This window comes from Homo sapiens, chromosome 3 (genome assembly GCF_000001405.40).
Source record: "Homo sapiens chromosome 3, GRCh38.p14 Primary Assembly".
Taxonomy (NCBI): domain Eukaryota; kingdom Metazoa; phylum Chordata; class Mammalia; order Primates; family Hominidae; genus Homo; species Homo sapiens.
This window is the reverse complement of record NC_000003.12, coordinates 95,820,218-95,844,532: the sequence shown is the minus strand read 5'-3', so window position 1 is coordinate 95,844,532 and position 24,315 is coordinate 95,820,218.

The following is a 24,315-nucleotide window of genomic DNA, read 5'->3' as shown; positions in this document are numbered from 1 at the left end:
GGAGAATCCCTGTTATATAATGAAGTTCACATCCAAAACTTTACTTTTTGGATTTTTAAATTTATATATCACAGTCGTACATATTATGCGGTTACATGTGTATTTTGAAACATGTATATAATGTGTAATGATGAAATTAGAGTAATTGGAATATCTGTTACTGCAAACATTTATCTATTCTTTGTGGTGGGAATATCAGAATTCTTCTAGGTGTTTTGCAACATGTCATAAATTATACTTACCTATAATTTCCATGCTGTACTATTGAGAACAAGAACTTATTCCTTCTACCTAATTAAATTTTATATCCATTAAATGTTTTCTCTTTATTTTTCTCTCCCCTCTTCCTTTCTGAGCCTCTGATTACCACCCTTCTACTCTCTACCTGCATGAGATCTACTTTTTTAGCTCCCGCATATGAGTGAGAACATGTGATATTTGTCTTTATGTTTCTAGCTTATTTCATTTAACATAATGACCTCCAGCTCCATCTATGTTGCTACAAATGACACAATTTAACTTCATTTTATGTCTGAATAATACACCATTGTATGTGTATATCACATGTTTTCAACCCATTAATCCATTAATGAACACTTAGGCTGATTCCATGTCATGGCTATCATGGATAGCGCTGCAATAAACATGGGAGTGCAAAAGTCACTTTGAGATTCTGATTCCCTTTTTTTTTGAATATATACCCAGCAGTGGGCTTGCTTGATCATATGGCAGTTCTGTATTAATTTTTTGAGTAACTTCCATAGTGTTTTCCATATTGGATGTACTACTTTAAATTTCTACCAACAGTGTATGAGCATTCCCCTTTCTCCACATCATCACCAGCATTAGTTATTTTTTATTTTTTTGAGAATTGCCTTTCTATCTCAGTTGAGATGATATCTCATTGTGGTTTTGATTTGCACTTCCCTGATGATTAGTTTATTTCATAAACATGTTGGCCATTTGTAAGGTTTTTCTTTGAGAAATATCTATTCAGGGTTTTATCAATTTTTTAATCAGAGTATTATTATTATTTTCTATTAAATTTCTTATATATTCTAGTTATTGATTCCTTGTCAGATGGATAGTTTGCAAATATTTTCTCTCATTCTGTAGATTGTCTCTATACTGTGTCAAAAAGAAGCTACCTATCAATGCTTGGATTTACTTCTAGGCTCTCTATTTTATTCTATGGGTCTATGTGTCTGTTTTTATGCCAGTATCATGCAGATTTGGTTACTATAGCTTTGGTTACTCAGATTGGTTACTATAGTTTGGTTACTCATTTTGAAGTCAGGTGTTACTCTTGCTGAGAAATGTTTTAAGTATTTTAAGTCTTTTGTGGTTCCATATAAATTTTAAAAATGTTTTTCTATTTCTGTGAAGAATGTCATTAGTATTTTGTTAGAGATTGCATCAGCTCTGTAAATTGCTTTGGGTAATATAGATACTTTAACAATAATAGTTCTTCCAATTCAAGGGCGTGGAATATCTTTCTCTTTTTGAATGTGTGTTCTCTTCAATTTCTTTCACCAGTGTTTTATATATTTCCTTGTAGAGATTTATCACTTCTTTGGTGAACTGTGTTACTAAGTATTTGGGGAGTTTTGGCTATTGTAAGTGGTATTGCTTTCTTATTTTTATTTTTCAGATTGATCACTATTAGCATATAGAAATGCTCCTGATTTTTGTATGTTTATTTTGTATCCTGCAACTTCATTACATTTATTTATTCATTTAAGTGTTTTTTGGTAGAGTCTAGGTTTTTCTAAATATAAGATCACGTCATCTGCAATCAAGGATAATTTGACTACTACTTTTCCTATTTGGATATTCTTTATTTCTTTCTGTGGCCTAATTGCCCTGGCTGGGACTTCTGATGCGATATTAAATAAAACTAGTGAAAGTGAACATCCTTGTTTTGTTCCAGATCTTGGTAGAAAGGCTTTCAATATTCTTCCTGTTCAACATGATGTTAGCTGATGTTGTCATATATGACCTTCATTGTGTTGAGGTATTTCTTTTCTATATCCGTTGTGGAGGGTTTTTGTCATGACGGAACATTGAATTTTATCAAATGCTTTTTCAGAGTTCATGTGACTTATCACATTTTCATATTTGCATGTGATCAGCCATCCTTGCATCCTGGGATACACTAAAAATTAAAACAATAAACTAAAACATATTTACCAAAAAAACTACTTAAGTACAACAGAAGACAGCAAAAAAAAGTTACACAACAGCTTGGAAACAAGTAACAAAATGGCAGTAGTAAAGCCTTACCTATCAATAATATATTGAATGTGAATGGATTAAGTTCTCCAAGTAAAATTCATAGAGAGACTGAATAGATTAAACATACAAGACATATATATATATATATATATATACATATATACATAGTCACATATAGCACCATATATATGCTGCTAATATTATATATATATATGCTGCTTGTATTAAACATATAAGATCCATATATATATTTATCTGAGTGAGTATATAAGCAGACAACATATATATGTGCTATCTATAAGAAACTCCCTTTACCTATAAAGATACACATAAACTGAAGCAAAAATGATAGCCCATGCAAAATGATCAGGAGTAGCTATACATACATCAAATAAAATATACTTTAAGTCAAAAACTGTAAAAAGAGACAAAGAAGGTTATTATATAATGACGAAATGGTCAATTCAGCAAGAGGATGCAACAATTGTAAATAGATATGGACCCAACACCAGAGCCCCCAAATATTTTATACATTAATAGCTTTAAAGGGAGAAATAGACTTTAATAGTCATAGGATAATTCAACGCACCACTTTTGACAATTGACAGATTGTCCAGAGAGAAGATCAAGAAAGAAACATTGAAATTAAATCGCACTCTAGACAAAATAGACCTGACAGGTATTACAGAACATTATATCCAACTGCTCCAGAATACACATTTTTTTCTTATCAGCACATGAAACATTCTCTAGTATTAACTATATTGTAGGCTATAAAACAAGTCTCAAGAAATTAAAAATAGTCAAAATTATATCGAGTATATTTTCTGACCACGACAAAATATAATAAGAAATCAATAACAAGAGACATTTTGGAAATTGTACAAATACATGGAAATTAAACAATATGCTTCTGAATGACCAATGGGTCAATGAAAATTTTAAAAATTCTTGAAATCAAGTAAAAACATAAATGTGGAGCAGAATTTATGGTATATAATAAAGACGGTATTTAGAGGGAAGTTTATAGTAATAAATGTCTACACCATAAAAATGGAAAGACTACAAATAGCCTAACATTGCACCTCAAATAGCTAGAAAACCAAGAACAAATCAAATTCAAAATTAGTAGAAGAAAAGAAATAACAAAGATAAGAGCATAAATAAATGAAATCGACGCTAAGAAAAATACAAAAGTTCAACAAAATAAAAATTAGTTTTTTGAAAAGATAACCAAAATTGACAAACCTTTAGCTAGATTAACTAAGAAAAAAGAGGGATGACCCATATAGATGAAATCAGATATGAAAAGGGAAATATTAGAAGTGCAGAAATACAAAGGATCATTAAAGACTGTTACACCAACAAATAGGAAAACTTTAAAAAAAAGGATAAATTTTCTGGACACATTCAACCTGCCAAGATTGCACCATAAAGAAATAGGGAACCTGAAAAAAACAATAATAATTAATAAGATTAAAGCAGTAATAAAGTGTTTCCCATCAAAGAAAATCCCAAAATCTGATGAATTCACTACTGAATTTCATGAATCATTTAAAAAAGAACTAATGCCAATATTTTAATACATTTTATATGATTAGTTAAATGTTTTAAAAATTAATGGAATATTGATTTAAATTGAAAATTGAAAGGTGCGATGTTACTAATTTGAATGTTTTTTTTTTTTGCCTAGGAGAAAAAGTATGTAATTCTGCATGAGTTGAGGCTTTAAGTTGCTAAAGACTACCCACGTGTCACCCTTTCAGGAAAAAATGGCAAACTCAAGATATTGCAAAAGTTATGTTTAGTTGAGGCTTTTAATTTTCTTCTTTAAAGACATAGCCACCTAAGGCCAACTTTTTGATGTTTGCTTCATGCCATGACTCTCAGACATAAGAAAAACTTTTCGAAAACTGTATATAAATAAACATAAAGTTCCCAGATAATATTTTCAGAAGATCAAGATTAAATAAAGTTAATCAATTTTTAATCTTTGTAAACTTGTTTCTTAATTTTCAGAACAAACTACTTCATGCAATTATTTTGAGGTTTTAATTAGGCATTATATTTTAAGTACCAAGTAAAGGTTCTGAAATGTATATATTTAATATATTTTTAATAAATGACAGCCATTATTAATGTTGTTATTGTTGATGGTAATTATTCACCAGGTAGATATTTAGTTAGTGATAAAGAATTCAAACCTTAATATATCACAATAAGTTTTCCATCTATAAAATAGAAGTTTCGTCAGCTACACAAGTTACAAGTTTAAAATTTTAAACATTTCATATGACTTCAAATGTAACTTTGTATTTGGAATTCAGATATTCCTATAAACTGTTGTTCAGTTTGGCTCAACTCTTGCTCGTAAACCTAAAATAAAACAATATTACAAAAAGTTAAAAGTGTTGGCATTAATATTCCGTAAGAGTTAGGCTAGTTTTGAAGTATTAAATTAGTTTTCACTTCTTAAAAAATAATTATTTCTAGAAATTTCCTGTAGATTTTGATTATAACACTGAACTATAATTATGGTTCAGATGGTACTGCTATTCTTAGCTCATATTTTCATTTGTATATAACTTCATGACAAGCACCTTTTCAGACTAGAATTTCTAACACTTTTCAAGCAAAAAATAGAATTTTTTTTCTGTAGATTGTTTGCATAAGCAACAATTCACCAACTGTTAGGATAAAAAGAGTGTTTTAGAAGTGCTGTGAGAAAGTTTCACTTTACTTGTTTTTTATAACTTTTAACAGTCCTTGCAATTTATTGGTTTTACACTTTTATTTGTATAGATATTTTAAACTTTCCATAGTCTACTATAAAAATAATTTGGTAAATTTAAAAATATATTACATTAGAGATTACAGTGGTTCTTTAAAAAATAAAAATTAATAAGACTTCCAATCTGGTGCCCATATCTTGAAAGAAGAATGAATAAAGCAAACTATAGGATTTTTTTTTTGGTAAACCAATCTAAAATATGTCATCGATTGAATTCTATGCTTATAGATGCCTTCTTGGCAGTTATTCTCTGAAGAATCAATTCATTTGTGGCAAGACTCCATTAATAGGCAGGTGTTCATGATGGTGATAAAGCTGGCACAAGCCCAGAACTATGTCACATGGATAAATGCAGCAGTTTGGGTTTGTAGGTGAACACCGAATTGAGAGAAAGTTGTGCCTCAGGTTCTCCTTAGTCACCCTGTGGGCATTAGGGCCAAGACCTGATTGGCAGCCACCAGTCACCCAGTATTGCTGAATATTAAACTCTGAAGTCTGTGTCTGGATTGGTAGAAAATACCATTCTGAGTAATGAAATTGAGTCTGCTGATGCACTTTCTGCCTTTATTATCAGCTTTGCTGTGGCATCTGTGAAGGGACCTTTTATACTTCTTCATGGAAAAACTTTCCTATATTTAGTAGTTGCTCTTTGCAGATACTGCTTGTATTTACTGTTCTACATATTTGTCTGCTGGAAAATATTTGCTCAAAAATGCACAGTCTTTGATTTCTTACAAGCTATCCAAATGCTGTTTCCCCTACTTTACACAGCCATGTGGCCAGACTAGTCATGATGATGATGACTTCATTCTGACCGCTTCATCAAATTATGACCACTTTGTCAAATCTCTGCTAACTAGTACTGTTCACCTCCATATAATAATGATAAAGACAACAAGAATGGTAATGATATAATCACATTCAATTATTAAGTACTTAGTCTTTACTTACTGGATTTAGCATGTCCCCATTTAGAATCTGTGTTCAGACAGTCCTTGGATTGCAGCCTGTGGTAGGCAGAATAACCCCTCCTTTTACTGGCAAATATGCCCATATTCTAATCCTAAGAACTGTTGAATATGTTATGTTACATGGTAAGAAAAAATTAAGAGTGCAAATGGAATTAAGATTTCTAAGGTGACCTTGAGATTGAGAGATGATCCTGGATTATCTGTGTTGGCTCATTGTATCCCAAGAGGCAGGGAAGAAACAAAGTGAGAGTGATGCAGCATGAAAAAGACCCAACCATTGCTGGATTTGAAGAGAAAATGAGAACCAGGAAGTCTCTAGGAGCTGGAAAGTCAAAGACGTGGATTATCTGCTACGTATTACTGGAAAAACAGTCCTGCTGACACCCTGATTTTAGCCCACCCTGATTTTGAGCAAATAATTTAGCCCAGTGAGGTACATTTTGGACTGCTGACTTCCAGAACGGTAAGAAAACAAATTTTTGTGATTTTGATTCATGAAGCTTGTGAAAATTTGTTATAGCAGCGATAGGAAGCTAATACAACTCATCTACACTGTGTCTACTATCTGCATAATGGAAGAAAGATCTATGATTGCAGGAGAATGTGAACTCTCCTTAAAATGATAATTTGTTAGATTATCAATGAATTGATGGGCATTGCATATATACTTGGACAAAATTGATGGCTCCTTTATGGAAAGGAAAGCTGGCACAAATTGAATCTGAACTGAGGGAATCAAAAAATAAATAAAATGAAAATTTGAGTGGGTTAAAGGAGAAGAAAAAACACACTTTGATAACAGCATTCTCTGCTGCTACCATACATAGTATATTATTTATTTACCTGAACCCTAAAGAACAAGACTTTCAAAAACTACCAAATATCCTAGGAGATGATATCATTTTTGAAGTTAGGTAAGCATGTGTATGGCACATATAAACTGTTAAATTAATTAATCAAGGCCTTAACAATATGGCTTCATTGCAAAAATGTGTCTGAGCACCACAATTCTTGATCCTCAGATTAAAGTATTTTTTTCATTGCAGGCTTTGATTAAATTTTTCTTAGGTCACTCCAAACCTTCCCTTTTAAATGTCATCTCTATTTTGTGGTAGTAAATTTGACACTGAAGGATAACCTAGGTGTTATGAGTTCAATCGTGTCCACCCAAATGATCACATGTTGAAGCCTTAATCCCCATAACTCAGAATGTGATTGCATTTGGAGACAGGGTCTTTAAAGAGGTCATTAATTTAAACTGATGTCATCAGAGTGCACTCTAATCCAATATGGTTGTTATCCTCTGATATGGTTTGGATTTGTGTCCTCACCCAAATCTTATATCAAATTATAGGCTGGGTGCAATGGCTCACACCTGTAATCCCAGCACTTTGGGAGGCTGAGGCAGGTGGATTGCTTGAGGCCAGTAGTTTGAGAGCAGCCTGGCCAGCATTGTGAAACACTGGCTCTACTAAAAATACAAAAATTAGCCTGGCATGGTGGTGAGTACCTGTAATCCCAGCTACTCTGGAGGCTGAGGCAGAATTACCTCTTGAACCTGGGAGTTGGAGGCTGCAGTGAGCCAATATCATGACATTGCACTTTAGCCTGGGTGACAGAGTAAGATTCTTTCTCAAAATAAAATTAAAAAATTATAACAATAAAAAAGTATAATCCCCAGTGTTGGAGGAGGGGCCTGGTGGGCAGTGATTGGATGATGGGACTGGACTTCCCCCTTGCTTTTCTCATGATAGTGAGTGAGTTCTCATGAGACCTGGTTGTTTAAAAGCATGTAGCACCTCCACCTTTTCTTTCTTCCTCCTGCTCCAGACATGTAGGAGGTACCTTCTTACCCTTCGCCTTCCACCATGATTGTAAGTTTCCTGACACCTCCCCAGCTGTGCTCCCCATGCAGCCTCTGGAACCGTGAGCCAATTAAACGTCTTTTCTTCATGAATTACCCAGTCTCAAGCAGTTCTTTATAGCAATGCAAGAACAAACTAATACGTCCTCTTAAGAAGAGAAAATTTTGACGCAGATACATACAGGGCCAAGACATTGTGAGGACACAGAGAGAGAGAAGACAGCTATCCATAAATCAGGGGTAGAGACCTGAAATAGACACATGCCTCATGGCCCTCAGAGGGATCCAACTTCTAGCATCCAGAACAGTGAGAAAATAAATTTCTATTGTTTAAGCCACCCGATCTGTAGTACTTTGTTACAGCATCCTCAGCATACTAATACACAGGTCCAGTTGATCATATTAAAATATCAGTGCTGGGTTTTTTTCCCCTTCATAGTCTTAAAAAATTGTTGTTGAAAGAATGACCACAATCAGTTTGATTGAAATGTGAAAGGAAAATAAATCTCAGAACCCCAAACTCAGTAAGCCAAAGAGAAAAGTCAAGCTGGGAACTGGGTCATGCAAACCTGACTCCCACTTAGTTCCTAAATAAGATAGATATAAAGATAAAAAGCTACATGCCTTCCTAACATTTAGATCTATTACCCTAAAACAGTTCCTTTGAATTTCACCCTGGAAACATAAATAGATAGCTTATCTTCACAGGTGTGGGGCACAGGACAAAACTCAGTCATCCGTCTGCTCACCTGAGACAAATGCATACCTGATGGCTTTCTCTGCCCCATTGTCTGCACTACCCTATGAAAACTTCAGATTCACTGAGCCAGACAAAGGCATGAGTGACACTTCCTCTACCCACCTCCCACATGAAAATTGTATATTCAGTGAAAAGCTGATCAAAGACTACAAAGCATGCAAAGTTTTGTCTTTTTACCTACTGAAACATTTTTAAAAAATACTTATTTTCTCCCAATATCCACCCTTTCCTCTTTAAATATGGAAGTCCTAAAAATCATCTTTGGAGAAAGGCAGAGACCTATCTCCTGGGCACACATCCTTAACTTTAGTAAGAAAACCTCCTAAAATGATTTAAGACTTGCCAAGGTCATTTTCTTTGATTTACAAATATGCTAAGCAAACCATAAGATCTCACAAAAATTTAAACAGTTCTAAATCAATAATAGAAATGTAAAGAAAAGTAAAACATTAGGTATATCTCCTAATGCTTTCCCTCCCACCTTCCTGCACCCCGCAACAGGCCCCGGTATGTGATGTTCCCCTTCCTGTGTCCATGTGTTCTCATTGTTCAATTCTCACCTATGAGTGACAACATGTGGTGTTTGGTTTTTTGTTCTTGCAATAGTTTGCTGAGAATGATGGTTTCCAGCTTCATCCATATCCCTACAAATGACATGAACTCATCATTTTTTATGGCTGCATAGTATTCCATGGTGTATATGTGCCACATTTTCTTAATCCAGTCTATCATTGTTGGACATTTGGGTTGGTTCCAAGTCTTTGCTATTGTGAATAGTGCCACAATAAACATACGTGTGCATGTGCCTTTATAGCAGCATGATTTATAATCCTTTGGATATATACCCAGTAATGGGATGGCTGGGTCAAATGGTATTTCTAGTTCTAGATCCCTGAGGAATTGCCACACTGTCTTCCACAATGGTTGAACTAGTTTACAGTCCCACCAACAGTGTAAAAGTGTTCCTATTTCTCCACATCCTCTCCAGCACCTGTTGTTTCCTGACTTTTTAATGATCGCTATTCTAACTGGTGTGAGATGATATCTCACTGTGGTTTTGATTTGCATTTCTCTGATGACCAGTGATGATGAGCATTTTTTCATCTGTTGTCTGTGTCTGTTGGCTGCATAAATGTCTTCTTTTGAGAAGTGTCTGTTCATATCCTTTGCCCACTTTTTGATGGGGTTGTTTGTTTTTTTCTTTAAATTTGTTTGAGTTCTTTGTAGATTCTGGATATTAGCCCTTTGTCAGATGAGTAGGTTGCGAAAACTTTCTCCCATTTTGTAGGTTGCCTGTTCACTCTGATGGTAGTTTCTTTTGCTGTGCAGAAACCGTTGAGTTTAATTAGATCCCATTTGTCAATTTGGCTTTTGTTGCCATTGCTTTTGGTGTTTTAGACATGAAGTCCTTGCCCATGCCTATGTCCTGAATGGTATTGCCTAGGTTTTCTTCTAGGGTTTTTATGGTTTTAGGTCCAACATTTAAGTCTTTAATCCATCTTGAATTAATTTTTGTATAAGATGTAAGGAAGGGATCCAGTTTCAGCTTTCTACATATGGCTAGCCAGTTTTCCCAGCACCATTTATTAAATAGGGAATCCTTTCCCCATTTCTTGTTTTTGTCAGGTTTGTCAAAGGTCAGATGGTTGTAGACGTGTGGTATTATTTCTAAGGGCTCTGTTCTGTTCCATTGGTCTGTATCTCTGTTTTGGTACCAGTACCATGCTGTTTTGGTTACTGTCGCCTTGTAGTATAGTTTAAAGTCACGTAGCATGATGCCTCCAGCTTTGTTCTTTTGGCTTATTGTCTTGGCAATGCAGGCTCTTTTTTGGTTCCATATGAACTTCAAAGTAGTTTTTTCCAATTCTGTGAAGAAAGTCATCGGTAGCTAGATGGGGATGGCATTGAATCTATAAATTACCTACAATATCATTTTCATGATATTGATTCTTCCTACACCAACATGGCACATGTATACATATGTAACAAACCTGCATGTTGTGCACATGTACCCTAGAACTTAAAGTATAATAAAAAAAAGAAAGAAAAGTAAAACAAAAACAGAGGAACAGCAACTATGATTTTCTATGAAATCCCTCAGAAATGAGAACATCGTAAGCCTAGGGCAAAATATTACATCAAGAACTTTACGGGAAACCTATTTGGGGGAAAAGAGACAGTAGGTTGGAAACAGAAGGGAAGACAAGTGCTGGCTGCCAGATTGAAATAAGAAGTCATAAGTCTGGAACTGATAGATAAGAAAGAGTTAGCCTAGAAAAAAAAAATTGTTGCAAAAGCAGCAGCACCTCATAAAAGAAAATTTCTATTACAAGCTTTATTTTTCTCAGAATTTTACTTTAGATAGCTGATGGATATCCATTGCACAACTGAAATCAAAAGATGTACTTTATTTATTGCATGTAGTAACACAACGGTTTCCTTACATTATAAAAAAGCAAAACAAAACACTGATAGATTTTGTTTCACTTTTGCTTCAGATTGTTCTTTTCATATTGCATTTTCCAGCATTAACAAAGCAACATCTTTATTTATTGTGATGCTATTTTTCATAAGCTGAAATAAAATGTGCTACCTTTATTCACTGAAATCAATACTCATTGTTAGTATAATCTTATTCACCTGGTTGCCATCATGAGTCTGTGTGTGTGTGTGAATTAAGTTCAAGGATCTTCATACTAGGGGATAAATATATGTAATTTATTTGTACTTTTAGAAAATGTACATATGAAAAATATTAATAGTAAATGTATACATGATAATATATAAAAGTAAAAAAAAAATAAAAGATATAAAAAAACTTTCCTCCATTGTACAGTTTTTCTTTTTTTCTATTTTTTCAATTGACAAAGAAAAATGTTATATATTGATAATGTTCAACATGATGTTTTGAAATATGTAGACATTGTGGAATGGTCAAATAGAGATAATTAAGATGCATTACTTCATATCATCATTTTTTTTTATGATAGGAACACCTAAAATCTACTCTTAGTGATTTTTTAAATACAATACATTGTTACTAACTATGGTCACCATGTTGCACAGTAGATCTCTTAAACTTAACCCCATTGTCTAAATGAAATGTTGTATCTTTGTTGAATCTTTCCAAATCCCCAAGCCCAGTGACTGGTAATCCCCATTCTGTTCTCTATTTAAATGAGTCCAACTTTTGCAGATTCCACATGTAAGTGAGAGCATGTAGTCTTTGTCTTTATGTCCTTGGTTTAACATAATATAATGTGTTCCAGAATCATTGATGTTGTTGCATATGATAGGATTTCCTTCCAATCATGTTCCAAGAGTATATATATATATATATATATACCACATTTTCTTTATTCATGCTTGCATTGATGAATATTTAAGTCAATTACATATCTTGGTGATTATGAATAATGCTACAATTAACACTGGAGTGCCAATATGTCTTCAAGATACTGATTTCATTTTCTTAGTATATATACTCAGTAGTGGGATTGCTGTATCATATGGCAGCAGTTCTACTTTTAATTTTTGAGGAAACTCAACACTGTTTTACATAATGACTGTACTAATTTACATTCCCACCTACAGTGTGCAAGAGTTTCCTTTTCTCCACATACTCACCAAAACATCTCATGTATCTTTTTAATTGTAGCCATTTTAACAGCTGTGAGGTGATATCCCATTATGCCTTTAATCAGCATTTCTTAGATTGCTAGTGATAATGGACATTATTTTTATACCTCTGTTGGCCATTTCTATGTCTTCTTTTGAGAAATGTCTATTAAGGAATTTTGCCCATTTTTTAAAATCACGTTATTTGTTTTCTTGCTACTGAGTTGTTTGAATGTTTTATATATTATTAACGTCAACCCCTTATAAGATATATGTTTTGTAAATATTTTCTCCCATTCTGTACATTGTCTCCCCACTCTGTTCAATGTTAACTTAGCTGTCCAGAAGCTTTTAAATTTGATGTAATACCACATGTCTATTGCTGTCTATTGTCGTCTGTGCTTTCAAATTCATAACCAAAAAAATAATCACTGCTCAGGTCAGTGTCAAGAAGACCATTGACTCAAAATTGACTCATTTTGCTCAACATCTTCCAAATTAAGATATCTTACTCTGAATAAAAGCCATAGCTTTTCCAAAAGCCCTATGTAATCTGTCCTGCTTTTACCTGTATAAATTCATTTTCTATTAATCTCCTCTTCATTCTCTCTGCTTTCTTCATAGGTGCTTTCTTGCTTTTTCTTAAGGATGCCAGGCCACAAGACCTATATATTATCTCTTTTTTTATGCCAAGAATCTGTTTCCCTGCAAATTGTGGAAGGTTACTTTCTCTCCCTACTTTCTTTCCTCTGTGAGTCTATTCCAAAGCACTAAATTTTTAGTGTTACCCTTACTAACTTCATTAAAAATTTCCAACACTGTAGTTCGCACTCCTGATTCATTCCCTATTCTTTTTTATTTAAACAAGTTTTTACACAGAACTCATTATAAACACATAATTTATAATTTACTCATTTTTAAAACATTTTTCTCTGTCTTCTACCACTAGATTATAAGATCTATTATGGCAGAATTTTTGTCTGTATTTTTTACTGATGGATCCCAAGCACCAAAAACAGCTTAATAATTTAAGCACTCAATAAGTATAAAGTGAATCATTAATGGGTCAAGTCATGCCATTTTCAATGATAATTTTGCACATTTGTCCTTGATATGGTTTGGCTCTGTGTCCCCACCCAAATCTCAGCTTAAATTGTAATCTCCATGTGTCAAGGGAAGGAGGTGATTGGATCATGGAGATGGTTTCCCTCATGCTGTTCTCATAATAACGAGTTAAGTTCTCAAGAGATCTGATGTTCTAGAAGGGGCTCGTCCCCCTTCACTCTCCCCTCTCTCTCTCTCCAGCTGCCATGTAAGACAAACCTGCATCCCCTTCTGCCATGATTGTAAGTTTCCTGAGGCCTCCCCAGCCATGTAGAACTATGAGTCAATTAAACCTATTTTCTTTAAAATTACCCAGTTTGGGGCAGTTCTTTATAGCAGTCTGAGAATGAACTAATACAGTCCTAAAGTGGCCGGGTGTGGTGGCTGATGCCTGTAATCCCAGCACAGTGAGAGGCCAAGGAAGGCGGATTGCTTGAGGTCAGGAGTTCGAGACCAGCCTGGCCAACAAGGTGAAACCCCATCTCTACAAAATACAAAAATTAGCTGGGTGTCATGGTGGGGTGCCTGTAATCCCAGCTACTCAGGAGGCTGAGACAGGAAAATCATTTGAACATGGGAGGTGGAGGTTGTGGTGAGCCAAGATCGCACCATTGCACTCCAGCCTTGGAGACAGAGCAAGACTCTAAAAAAAAAAAGAGTCTAAAAGTATAGTTTTCTCCAAACTCTCACTAAAATTTTATATTATTAAATATTTTAATCTTTCCATCTAAGAGAAAATTGAAAAAGAGGGAGAAAGAGAACAACGAATCACATCCATTAAAGAGGTTGTTTATGCTTCCTTTTTGGCCCACATGAACCATGACTTTATTACCATGGAAAACTGGCTTCCTAAAAAAAATTGTAAAGATCAGTGCATTGGAAACTGGCTGTATTAGTTTTCTAAGGCTGTCACAACAAAGTACCACAGACTGGTTGGTGTAGACTACAGAATTTTATTTTATCATAATTCTGGAGTCCATTAGCCTGAGATTAAACTCTTGGAAGCAGTGGATTCTTCTGAAGCATGTTTCCTTGGCTTGTAGACAGCAGTCTTCTCACTGTCTTTACATAATCTTTCTTTTGTGTATTATGTCCACATTTCCTCTTCTTATAAGGTCCTATTGGATTCATGACAAGTCAAATTAATCTAATTAATCATTGGATTAATGATATTATGCCAACTTAATGACCTCATTAAATATCTCTAGATATAATAACATTCTAAGGCATAAGGGATTAGGACTTCAACATATAAATTTTGGTGGGGACGCAAACTCATAACCTTGTCATATGAAATTAATTCTCTTGCCTCTTAAGGATGGTCATAAAGACTTTTCCTTTTTACAGTAACTACTTTTCTGGCAGTCAGAATTCTAAGATGACCACTAATGACCAATACCCTTGTATAAACTCCTCTTCAAAGTGTCGTGGAGTTTGTGAACTTGCTTCTAGACAGTGGAATATGACAAAGGTGATGGAGAAGTCATCTTTATTAGGTTATAGATTATGGCATATGTTATAGTAGTGTCATTTCCATAATAATTTTAACAGATTGGAGTGAGAGATTCTCCTGATACACTTGAAGAAGAAAACTCCTATGAATACTATAGCCACATGGAAAGAAACTATGCTAATGACCTGAGAGAGCTTGGAAGGAGATCCTTCCCAAGTCAAGCCTTAATAGGAAAGCACTACCCAGAGGACACCTCGATCTTGCCTTGTGAAACCCTGAGCAGAGACCCAGGCAAGCTGCACCCAAACCTCTAATTTATACAAACTGAAATAATAAATTGAAGTTGTTTTAAGCCACTGGTTTTGTAGTAGTTTGTTGTGCAGGATAGAAAACAAATACATAATTGGCAAAAAGCAAAAATGGAGATGAAGAAGACTTAGTAAGTCCTGAAGGCATCTGCAGCTGCTCACTTGTCAGTGGATCTCCAGGTCCTTTTTAAATTCTCCCTTATTATTATTTTTTAATTGGTCTCTTTGGTTCTTTCACAAAGCATATATGATATATCACAATTTGTTTATTTCTGAGCAGATTTCAAATTTTTGCTACTGTCCCAGTCTCACTATTTTATGAATTTTTTGTCAGCCTTCCTCATCTAGCTCCCACCCTGAGCATTATTTTGTAAGGTTATAATTCAGGAGGTATGATTGCTGCAATGCAGAAATGATGTATTCTTTTCCCCTGTCTAAAATTCTATCCTAATGCCAATTAAAATCTCATTTCCTTGTAACCCCTAAAAATAAATAAAAATGTAAAAGGAAATTATTAGAAAAAAACTTCAAGTTTTGAGGTCTTTGAGGGTGTTTTGCCTTCTTGACAATCCCTGAAAAAAGTCTGTGTTTTTTCACTTGAAATTCCCAATATTTAAGGTAAAATTTCAGACAAGTGTTTTTTCTACTTATAAAATTTTCTCCAAAAATTTAGTTATTTTGTGGAGGTATGTTAATTACTAGTGGGACAGTGAAAGTTAGGGGTCAGGTTAGAGTTAGAAATGGGGTTCTTAACATGTTAAAGTTGTTTTAACGAAACTATCATAAACTAAGTGGCTTGTGAAAAATAGATTATTTCTCAAAGTTCTGGAGGCTGAGAAGTCCAAGATCCAGGCACTTACAAATTTAGTGTCTGGTGAGGGCCCACTTCCTGGTTCATAGATGGCCATTTTTTTAGCTGTGTCCTGACATGGTGGAAAAGGTGAGAGATCTCTGGGGTCTCTTTTATAAGGGCACTAATCCCATTTACGAGGACAACACTTTTTGACCTGATTATTTCCCAAAGACTCTACCTCCTATTTCCATCAATTTGCGATTAGAATTTTAACATATATGTTTCAGGAGGACACAACATTTTGACCATAGCATGGGGTAAATGATATAGATCTGAAAATTACAAGTAGACTGGCCTAAGGAATGGGATGTGACAGCGAAAAGGGAAAGGCAGAGCAGGAAGAGATGGAGACGAGTAAATAAGAACAATGCATAGTTTATAATTTTTTATCTATTTTACAATTTTTATTAAGTTAAATCAACCAGCATCAATTTTATAAGTTCTATGAATTCAATAATTGGGATCTTTATTTCTTACTTTCTGTGGCTTCTATATCATCAAAATCCTATCAAGTACTTAGAACTGCTCTATGACTATAGAAACATCAAGTTCAAAAGTGGTTTGAGAATCTCAATAGAATTATTTTGTTGTGAGGGAGAGGGGAGTTTGAGATGTCATAGTGTTCAAAATATCCATCCAATGTAGATTGTGTTGATAACTTAGATGAGATGTTTAAAATTATTTTCTAATTAGATCTTTGCAAAATGTTCTGATTAGAATGCCAAGATGGTATAGACAACATTCATTGATGCATTATCTATAATAAAAATTAATCTCTGCAAATTTTTTTTTATCTTATTGTATGTGTTTCCTTAGCAGATGGTTCTAAGCTCCCTCAAGTTTTGGGCTTGTAAGCTCACTATTGTCTTAATATTCTTTCTGCTTATAAACACAACATTGCTTTAACATTCTTCTGCATTTCATATATGGAGTATTATGAAATGCTATTGTTTTATCTACCTATATCACAATCTTCATCTGGATTATTGGCTGAAAATATAAAAGTTTACACTTATATACCTTCAATACATGATATCTAAGTATTTGATCTCATTGGTAAGTGGTTTCTTCAATTTTAATTTTTCTTTGTATTTCTTAATTTCCTCAGGATTATCAGATATTAGGTCAAATATTGTTCTTACTGTTTTTCAGGCTTTAAGAGTCTCCATTTAATTTCTTTAATAGATACATAAATATTATATATTATATATACACATATATATGACATTTGTATCATCATTTGGACAATAATATTAATTCAAGTTATTTTACTTCTGATAATATAAGGCTGTAAAAATATTCACAGCTACATGAACAGTATGTGCTAAATTTATAACATACAAAGGGAATTTCAATATGATGTCTTTGATTTTGGGAATATAGCTAGTAGGAAATAGCTCGGTTTCCTCAAACAAATATGCACTTATTTTCAAATATTTTAATGTTATTACCTGTTTTTCAAAAGTTATTAATATAAAATATTATATTTCTAATAGAAAACATGATCTATTATGAGCCATAGAGGATTATAAGAATAATGAAAACAATACTTATAATGTAGGTAATCAGATATAAAAAAATGTTCATTTTGTGACCACAATGATATCAAACTACCACATATTCAGTTAGAAATGTGTTTTTTGCTTATTAGGCTGTTATTTAGTTCTACCTATGCCAATTTATTTTGTATTTGATCAGTCAAGTCTATATAATCTTTTGGTTCAAAGTTTTAATTATGCATGATTTTAACTTCTGTCATTTCATACTAACAAAATTTTATGGAAACACCATTAAATAAAAGAAGGTGTAGCTTCAGATTACATTTGTACAGTTATACTTTCGTAAATATTTCTGTAACCAAGTATTTTGTAATGTATTTTTTATGAAAATGACCTGAGAGTATGCATGGTAATAAAGTTCAAAAGTTCATCGTGATTCCAGGCTGGTGAATGCATTGAAGTGCTGTGAAGTGGGGGTGCCTGAGAGCATAGATGTTCTTAGCTCCTTCCCACATACATTTCCCTATGCATCTCTCCCATCTGGTGGTTCCTAATTTGTATTTATTTATAATAAACTGGCAACCTAGTAGTAAAAAACAAAAGGGGGGGCATCATGATTCATCAAATGTGGGAAATATATATAATGTGAGTAGATTTAATATATGGAAACACATGACACTAGCATAAGGGCATTAATGCCTATAGGCTTTTGGATTTTAGACCTTTCCTTTAGGTATTTATTAAAACATTTCATGTACATGCCATCAGGTGGTTGTCTGTCCTGAAGTAATATAATCATTTTATCTAGCTTACTTTCCAATTATACATATAAGTGACTCATTTTAGACCAAAGATAGCATAATTTAATTAAATAAGCCTTAAATAAAAATTAGAGCATAGACATATGTTGTTTGAAAAAAAATGACATTTTAAGGTAAAAAGTCATCCTGTATTTGATTATTAACAATATTTAGCAAAGCTTTTAATCACGTATGTTTTCAATGGATTTCTTAAATACTATAACTTGTTCAATTGCTGTCAAACTCACTTCCGGGAGATTCCCAAGGCTTGTTTCTATTCTGAGGGGCATTCCTTACATTGGAACTTCCTTGAAACTCTCTCTCCAGTTACCATAAATTATTGAAATTTCTGAATTCAAAGGCATAAACTTATTTCATTCTGATATTTTAATAAGTGTTTACAAACAACACCTTTGTTAAAAGCTTTACACTTGTAATTACTCCTAGTAACAGAGAAATGTAAAGCCATATTTCTACTGTTTTCTCTAATGATCAATCATAATACTTAATTAGATATTCATTTCCATACCTTAGTTCATAAGATATTTTTAATATCTGTTTCTACCTCAAATTAGATAGGATTCATCTCTATGTCTCTCATGTCATTCATGTTATAATTCTCATTTACTGACTTCTGTCTTCAGACATGATAAAAAAGAAGGAAGCAAACAATCTTAGCCATTCCTCATTAAACTTTATCCTCTTACCTCACTTTCTAGGCACAATTTTAGAATTGTGTTTTCTATTTCCATAAAGAATGCCATTGGTATTTTTATATGGACTGCATTGAATCTGCATATTGTTTTGGATAGTATGGACATTTTAACAATATTATGTGTTCCAGTTCATAAGCATGAGCTATCTTTACACTTATTTGTGTCTTATTCAATTTTTTTTATCAATGCTATATACTTTTCATTGTACAGGTCTTTCTCAACTAAGTTTATTTTTAAGTGTTTTATTTATTTATTTTGGAATATATTATGAATGGGATTGTTTTCTTAACTTTTGCAGATAGTTCATTATTAGTGTATAGGAATGCTACTGATTTTTGTATATTGATTTTCTATCCTGCAACTTTACTGAATTCATTTATTAGTTCTAATAGTTTTTTGATGGTGTCTTAGGGTTTTCTATACACAAAACAATGTTGTCTTCCAACAGGAACAATTTAACTTCTTCCTTTCCAATTTGGATGTCTTTTATTTAGCTTGCTTTTACTTTAGCTAGGACTTCAAGTATGGTGTTGAATACAAGTGGCAAGAGTGAACATCCTTGTCTTACTCCTGATCTTAGAGAAAAAACTTTCAACTTTCCACTATTGAGTATGATGTTAGCTATAGGCTTGTGACATACGGCCTTTATTACATTGAAATACATTCCTTCTATATCTAATTTGTTGATAGTTTTATCATGAAAAAAACAGTATTATACTTTCAAAGTGAAAAATATGAGATCAAATAAGAGTAAATATCTAGAATTTAACCCTTAGATACTGTTTTTGTATTTATAACTTGAAAAAGGGTATCCACTGAAAAATATGAGCAACTGCAGCTTCAGAAAGCAATTTTTTCGATGTTCAGCAAAATATTTGAAGATTTTGTTTTGTTTAGCTTTTAGTTCAAGTTAATTTTTTTATGGCTTATATTTACACTATGGGAAATGTAAGCATTTTCCACTCTACTAAACTCTTTAGAAAATGAGAAAAATTTAATTAAATATGATCATTCATTTAAATTTACTGGTCATTAAGAGATATTGCCAAATGTTTATATGTAATGTTACATGTATATTATAAATGTTGCCTCTATTGAATTGATTCATATGTAAATTGCCTCAGAGTAAAATTAAATTGTCAACTCCTATAATTATTAATTATACAATTATTTTATAGGCAAACAGTAAAAAAGAAAACTAATATGAGATGTAAATAATGCCAGAAATAAATTGTAATATAATTTACTATACAAGTAATTATGGTTTTGATCTTCATTTATTTTACTGTAATACTATATTATCAAAATATATAATTAAATATATTAATAATTCATTACATAAGAGAGAGATGCATGGAACAGCTAAATTAAGGAAACCACACATCATGTCAGTGTTTTTGTAATATGGTAATCACTTCCAATGTCAAGAGTATGGTCTCTGCTTTCTTATATAGTTAATTTATTGTTTTGTTTATGATTTACCATCCCTTTTAGGACACAACTCCTATTTGTTTAAAAAAAGGGATTTACAGTTTGCAGATATTATACTTTAAGGCATACGCCGTCCAGTTTAAGGTTCCCATGGTCTTTATGAAATGCGATAAATTGTGTTTAGAAATATTTCTGATGACCTTTAGCAGTAATATCTTGAACTACCACATTAGTTATGGCATATATAACTAAAATATTTGTTATGCTATTGGAAATCATAAAACACCAATGTACTAGTCTGAGAAAATGTTTCTATAATGAAGTTTAAAGAGCATGGTATATTCAAACAGACCTGCTTTCAACACAGCAGTCTTTCAAGTATCAGCTTCGTGTTACTTAATCTAAGCCTCATCTTCCACAAATGAAATCACTTAGAAAATGTTGTGAAAATTAAATACTTATATAATGTGGTCATAGCTCCAGAACCTTTAAAATCTTATTCAAATGCCACTCACTCTGTGACTGAAGATTTCCCTTATCTCTGCAAAGTGAGAATGAATGATCTATCTTCCTATCTGTATTCATATAGTGCTTTTAACAAATCACCCTAATTGTGCTTATCATCTTCAACTTCAAATTATACCTCTTTTGTATTATATGACATATTCCATGGTGAGTTTTAGAAGGGGTCAGAATATATTTTATACAAATATGTGAAAAATACATAAATAAATAAGTAAATATAAAATAAGAGTAAAAAAAGAAAGGAAATGTGAAAATTAGAGATAAAGAATGCAAAGCACAGAGACTTATTTATAAGCAGATAATAACAAATAACTATGTTAATAAAGTAAGATAAAGTAGATTTAAAGTTCACAATTATTAAAAATTAAACTGGAATATATACTTGGGATCTAACTGTTCATATACATAAAAATTACATTAACTTGCTTTTATAATAAAAGGTATCACATATTATACAGAAATAAATATAATTAAGAGTTAATTAACTCTGTAGTTGAAAGCATATTGTCTAAATTATTTTGCAATAATAGATTCTGAATATCATTAAGGTGTAAATATTTCTTAATATTAAAGAGAACTGCTTTGTTTTATGGTGTATTTATCACATATATACGATGTCTAATACTGTTTTAATATAAATCTCTCAGATAACAATATCTACCCTTAAGCTAACCTGAAAATAGAGTTCTTAACTTTGAAAACTCATGTTTACAATTTTGTTGATAAATATAATCCATGAAACTATATTTCAAGTGATTTATATCATTGCATTTTATGTTTGTTGTTTCTAAGGGTAATGCAAAAAATATAGTTTCTAACTGTCAAAGCGATACAGTGAATAGTTTTACCACAACGAAGGCTTACTTAAACTTTAATTTCTGGAGATCAATTAAGGTAATTGTGGGTATATTGCAGAATTTGTAGTAGTTGTTTGACACATAATTATAACATTGATTAATTTTCCTGGTCTACTTCTGTGGTCAGTGTAACCAACAGAGAATGTGCTCTATAACTAACAGAAAAGAGTGTCTCTCATTCAGGCAATAAAGTGTAACCCACTGCAGAATAATATTGCTTATTCCGTGAGCAATAGAAACACTTTCTTTTCCAGGTTATTATTATTTAATTACGTTTTTTGACTACTTTCCCCAAAAGAAGGCACCTGGCACCAACTACAGCTCAATGCATCTTCCTGGATATATTTTTGGCCTTCTCAGAAAGATTAAAAATATGTTAACAAAGGTATATTTTGGAGTACATTTATTTACTAATGTAAAGAGCATATAAGCAAGAAGAAATGAATTTTTTCTACCTTTAATTTTCAGATATGTAAAATTAGAGGCCACATATTTAAGAAAATCATGTAAACTTAAATATAGCATGGTCCAAAATGATTTCAGAGTAGGTAAATATCAAATGAATAAAAATGTTATTGGAGCTCCTGTAGTCTGATTTTTTTTTTTTTTTTTTTTTTGAGATGGTGTCTAGCTCTGTCGCCCAGGCTGCAGTGCAGTGGCCCGATCTCGGCTCACTGCAACCTCTGCCTCCCGGGTTCAAATGATTCTCCTGCCTCAGCCTCCTGAGTAGCTGGGATTACAGGCACGCACCACCACACCCAGCTAATTTTTGTATTTTTAGTAGAGATAGGGTTTCTCCATGTTGGCCAGGCTGGGTCTCCTGACATCATGATCCGCCTGCCTCAGCCTCCCGAAGTCTTGGGATTACAGGCGTGAGCCACTGTGCCCGGCCTAGTCTGATTTTATTTTTTAAGCCAATGTCTTAGTTTGCTCTTGCTGTAGAAAAATTATTACATATTTTAATTCAGTATATAATTTAGTAATATTGCCTGGGGCAGTGGCTCACGCCTCTAATCCCAGCACTTTGGGAGGCCTAGGCAGGCATATCACCCAAGGTCAGGATTTCCAGACCAGCCTGGCCAACATGGTAAAACCCCGTTTCTACCAAAAATACAAAAATTAGCCAGACATGGTGGTGTGTGCCTGTAATCCCAGCTATTCGGGAGACTAAGTTGAGAGAATCACTTGAACCAAGGATGCTGAGGTTGCAGTGAGCCGAGATCGCACCATTGCACTCCACCTGGGCAACAGACGGAGACTTAGTCTCAAAATAATAATAATAATTACATTATTATTATTTAGTGATATTGATAAGGTCTGGCTCTTTGTCCAAACTCAAATCTAATTTTGAATTTTAATCCAAATTGTAATCCCCATGTGTTGGGGGAGGGACCTCATGGGAGGTGATTAGATTATGGAGGGAGTTCCTCCAGGCTGTTCTCACGACAGTGGGTGAGTTCTCATGAGACTTGATGGTTTCATAAGGGGCTTCCCCTGTTCACTCTGCATCTCTCCATCCTGCTGCCATGTGAAGAAGGACATGTTTGCTTCCCCTTACACCATGATTGTAAGTTTCCTGAGGCCTCCCCAGCCCTGCGGAACTGAAAGTCAATTAAACCCCTTTCCTTTATATATTACCCAGTCTCAGGCAGTTCTTTATCTCAGAGTGAGAATCGACTAGTATAGATTTCAATATCATATAAATTTCCTTATCAAGCTAATCACCTTGATATTAGAATGAAAACTATATTGCTAATTATTTTCAAAATTTTCAAGAACAAACATTACTTAGTTAAAAATATATTGTGAACATATGAACATCATTATCTTTGCATTACAGTGAGGCAATGAAATAGGTTAAATATGAAATCACATTTTTAAATCTAAAGAATAAGCACATAACCAATAATATAAATGTGACTTTTTCTTATATAAATCTATTTTTAAATTTCTCTTGCAATTAAAATTTAATTCACATATTTGTAAAAATGGGAATAAATGTGATTTTATATGCCTTAAACCCAATCAAATGGAAAAAAAAGAAGTAAAAAAGCATTATCTTAGAGCTTATTTCTATGAATTCAAGGACAATAATAATCTTAGTACATAAGTAGAAGCATAAATACTCTTAATTATTGCTTATAATAATAGACTTTAATTATATTGTGAAAGGCAGCAATGAATCTTAAGTAGAGTGACTCTGTGAATGTCCATTATGAAGACTAATTCTTAGTTTGAATCTAGCACTAAATTATTTTAGTTTATCTATACAATGATGATACCGAATATGATGTTGAAAATCCTCTCAGGTTCTAGATTTCTGATTTTTATATTTACTCATTTGAATACAGCATCATATTATTTATTATAAATATAAAACTTGTCCTATGCTTTCTTTCCACCAATGGCTCATTATCTTGCCTTTCTAAAATCTATGATTACCTTTGTAAAATGCACATGGAGAAATTGGGTAATGTTTAACGCAAAGAAACAAAAAAATACCACTCTTAGCCAGCCACCAAAATGATTG